The 3,509-nt window shown below is 34.2% G+C and overlaps 1 long non-coding RNA gene across 1 annotated transcript in view; it reads left to right on the forward strand.

Moving 5' to 3' along the window:
* Nucleotides 1–3,069: 3,069 nt before the first annotated feature.
* LOC105377953 (uncharacterized) overlaps nt 3,070–3,509 on the forward strand; it is a 29,486-nt gene continuing 29,046 nt past the window's right edge. Inside the window, exon 1 of the long non-coding RNA XR_001744310.1 lies at nt 3,070–3,125. This is a non-coding gene — a long non-coding RNA (uncharacterized LOC105377953). The remainder of the gene's footprint in view (nt 3,126–3,509) is intronic.

Consider the following 3,509-nt stretch of genomic DNA (forward strand, 5'->3'; position numbering starts at 1 on the left):
ATGCTATGTCAGTTCTTAAAATCTGTAATTAATAACTTCCCCCCAAAAATTCACGGATCCAGATGGTATTACAATTCATTTCTACCAAACATTTAAGAAAAATATAAAATAAATCTCACACAAATTTTTCGAGAGATCAGAAAAAGGAAATACTTACTGACATATTTTTTAAAACCAGAAAAACTTGATACCAAAAACTGACAAAGACAATATAAGAAAGGAAAATATCAGAGCAATCACCCTCATGAACATATATGTGAACATCATAAAGAAAATATTAGAAAAGTATAGCAATATATAGGAATGATAATCTATCATGACCTAATGGATTTACTTCAAGAATGCAGCTTCAAGTTGATTTGAAATTTGAAAATCAATCCTTTTAATTTGCTACATAAAAGGATAAAGTATAAAAGTCACATGATATTTTGAGATGCAGAAAAGCCATTGATAAAATGAGATATCCAATAATTATTAAAAAGCACACAGTAGGCTGGGTGCGGTGGCTCACGCCTGTAATTCCAGCACTTTGGGAGGCTGAGGCAGGTGGATCACCTGAGGTCAGGAGTTCTAGACCAGCCTGACCAACATGGTGAAACCCCGTCTCTACTAAAAATACAAAAATCAGCCACATGTGGTGGCATGCGCCTGTAATCCCACCTACTCGGGAGGCTGAGAGAGGAGAGTCATTTGAACCTAGGAGGCAGAGGTTGCGGTGAGCTGAGATCACACCACTGCACTCCAGCCTGGGCGACAGAGCGAGACTTCATCTCAAAAAAATAGTAATAATAATAATAAAAGAAAAATTATATATTAGAAAGAAGAGAAGGCATTTCCACCATGAAACATGATGCCATAAATAAAGGAATATGTATGAAAAAGAGGGTAGAAAGGAGGGTAGGTGCTCTTGGATATTAAAAGTGTGGTATATATATATATATATATATATATATATATATACAAATGAAGGTTTAGGTGATAATGATGAAAAAATCTTTCAGAATGTAGACCAAAAGGCAACAAGATGAAAAATTAGATGGTTAGTCTACTAAGGGTACACCCAAATAAAAGAAGTTCCAGAAAGAGAGAACAAAAGAAACAGAGGGGGAAAAATTACCAAGCTACTTCTTTGGTAATTAAAAAAAAAAAATCCCAGAATTGGATGACATATTTCAAGACAGTAACAGGCCAGCAGAGTGCCCAGCACCAATTAACTACAGAACTCAAGTGACAAATACTCAGATGTCCCCTATATTTATTTGTGTATTCAAATCAATAAATCCTAATCACTTCACTATCTTTTGATCCAAAACTACCAACAAGGAAATTTGAATGAATGTTAAAATTTTTTGTCCACTTCCATGAAGGAAAAGCATGCTTCAGTGTGTAGACAGTCTAGCCCTGTTTTGAACTAGCACTAAATCAATTGGATATTTAATTAGAACAGTGTTTGGCAAGGTAACCCACAATAGAAAAGCATTGTACAACATAACCAATAAGCAAATAAATATATATTTATCTAAATGAAACCAAATTTCACAATATAATATTTACCCTTACTCCATGCAAAGCACTCTGGTCTACCCTATCCAATTTAAATGAAATAAACACTGCTCTTGAGGCTCTTAAATGGATTTCACAATGTTCTTAGATCATTAGTTTAAGAAATACTGCCTTTTTAGACTAAATATATAATGAAACTTACTTGTAAGTTCCTTTATACTGAGTTTTTTTTATTGTAGTGAAATTATGGCAATATTATAATTTATTACAGCTCAAGGAGTTTTGAGAATGTTGAAAAAGTTTGAAAAGTATTCTTAGAAATAAGATAATTTTTTCCCATTTTTAACTATGTGCTATAAGTAGCTGAGGTTGTGTGCAAGATTTCCAATTTACTACCTTCTTGACCTTAGAAGTGATCTTCAGGAACATTATCAGTTTTTACAGTAATGTTGTGATTCTGATTTACTGTTAAAGTGGTCATTAGGCCTACCACCTGCTTTTGCAGATGTAGCTGAATCAATAGTGTTCACAGTCTGAAGATTACTAAAGAGCAAATTCTATTTACTTTTTTATGGAACTTAATGACCTTTACTAAACACATTGTATTTCCCAGTTACCAACATCTTAAACTTTACAGCTTCATAGATCGCTTACCAAAAGGATGAGATCAAGTAAGATTAGAAGATTCTCTAATATACATCAAAATTTATCCATAAAACTTAAAACAGTATTTTTTTCTCTTTCTCAACTAATAAGAATACTATTGTTCTGATACTTTCTTTGTTCATGTTTCTGATACATCTGTACTTGTTGTTGGCTTTCTTTCATGCACCCCTAGGAATAATATTTTTTTAGGACATTATTGCAGCAACACAGTGAATAATTTTATCTTAGTGAAATTCTAGTAGTAGTTTAAGAAGCACTGGTCCTCTTTAAATCTGATTAAATAAAAACTATAATAACTACAAGCAGTAAATAGCCAGAATAGAAAAGAGCAATATTAGAAATGCTAATAATCTGAAGACACAATCTAAATGAAACACAGGATAAGATAAACGTTTATCCAATTAACTCCTCAGAACCCCAAGAGTTTTGTTTCCTGTCTACCTTTTCCTTTCCTTCAGTTCTTAGTTTTATGTGGTCATTGTGTATATCTGCTTTTGTGTTTCCATTTTCCCTATTGTTTATCTTTCACCATAAATTTGTCCTTGTTCCTTTAGTTTAAAAATAAAAGAAATTTTATCTTTTATGTTTCTTAAAGGAAAAAGAGCAATTTTAGTTACCTTTAGATTATGGCCCTCAATTCACCATTTCATGAGTCACTTGTCCCAAATAGGCAAAATCTTCTTGACTCACACTCTATACCTGCACTGTCAAATACAGTGGCCACTAGCCACGTGTGGTTATTTAAATTTAAGCTTAAATTAATTAAGCTAAAAAATTAAGTTCCTCAGTTGCACTAGCCACATTAAATGTGCTCAAACACCACTTTTGTCTACTGGCTATTGTACTGGACAGAACAGAATGTTGCTTAGCATGGAATGTTGCTAAGACTGCTGAAGAATCCTGCTAGTCAGCCTGGTTCCACATTTGCAGCTTATCAAAAGGGACAAGGAATTAATGTGGGTATTCTATTAGTCTGTTTTCATGCTGCTGATGAGACATACCCAAGACTGGGCAATTTACAAATGAAAGAAGTTTATTGGACTCACAGTTCCACATGGCTGGGGAGGCCTCAAAATCATAGCAGAAGGCAAGGAGGAGCAAGTCACGTCTTACATGGATGGCAGCAGGCAAAGAGAGCTTGTGCAGTAAAACTTGCCCTTATAACAACCATTAGATCTCATGAGACTTATTATCATGAGAACAGCCTGGGAAAGACCTGCCCCCATGACTCAATTACCTTTCATTAGGTCTCTCCCACAATATGTGGGAATTCAAGATGAGATTTTGTTGGGGACACAGCCAAACCATATTAGCTATCTCCTCTAGCTGACAGCTTTAAG

The sequence above is a fragment of the Homo sapiens genome, chromosome 6 (genome assembly GCF_000001405.40).
Source record: "Homo sapiens chromosome 6, GRCh38.p14 Primary Assembly".
Lineage (NCBI taxonomy): Eukaryota > Metazoa > Chordata > Mammalia > Primates > Hominidae > Homo > Homo sapiens.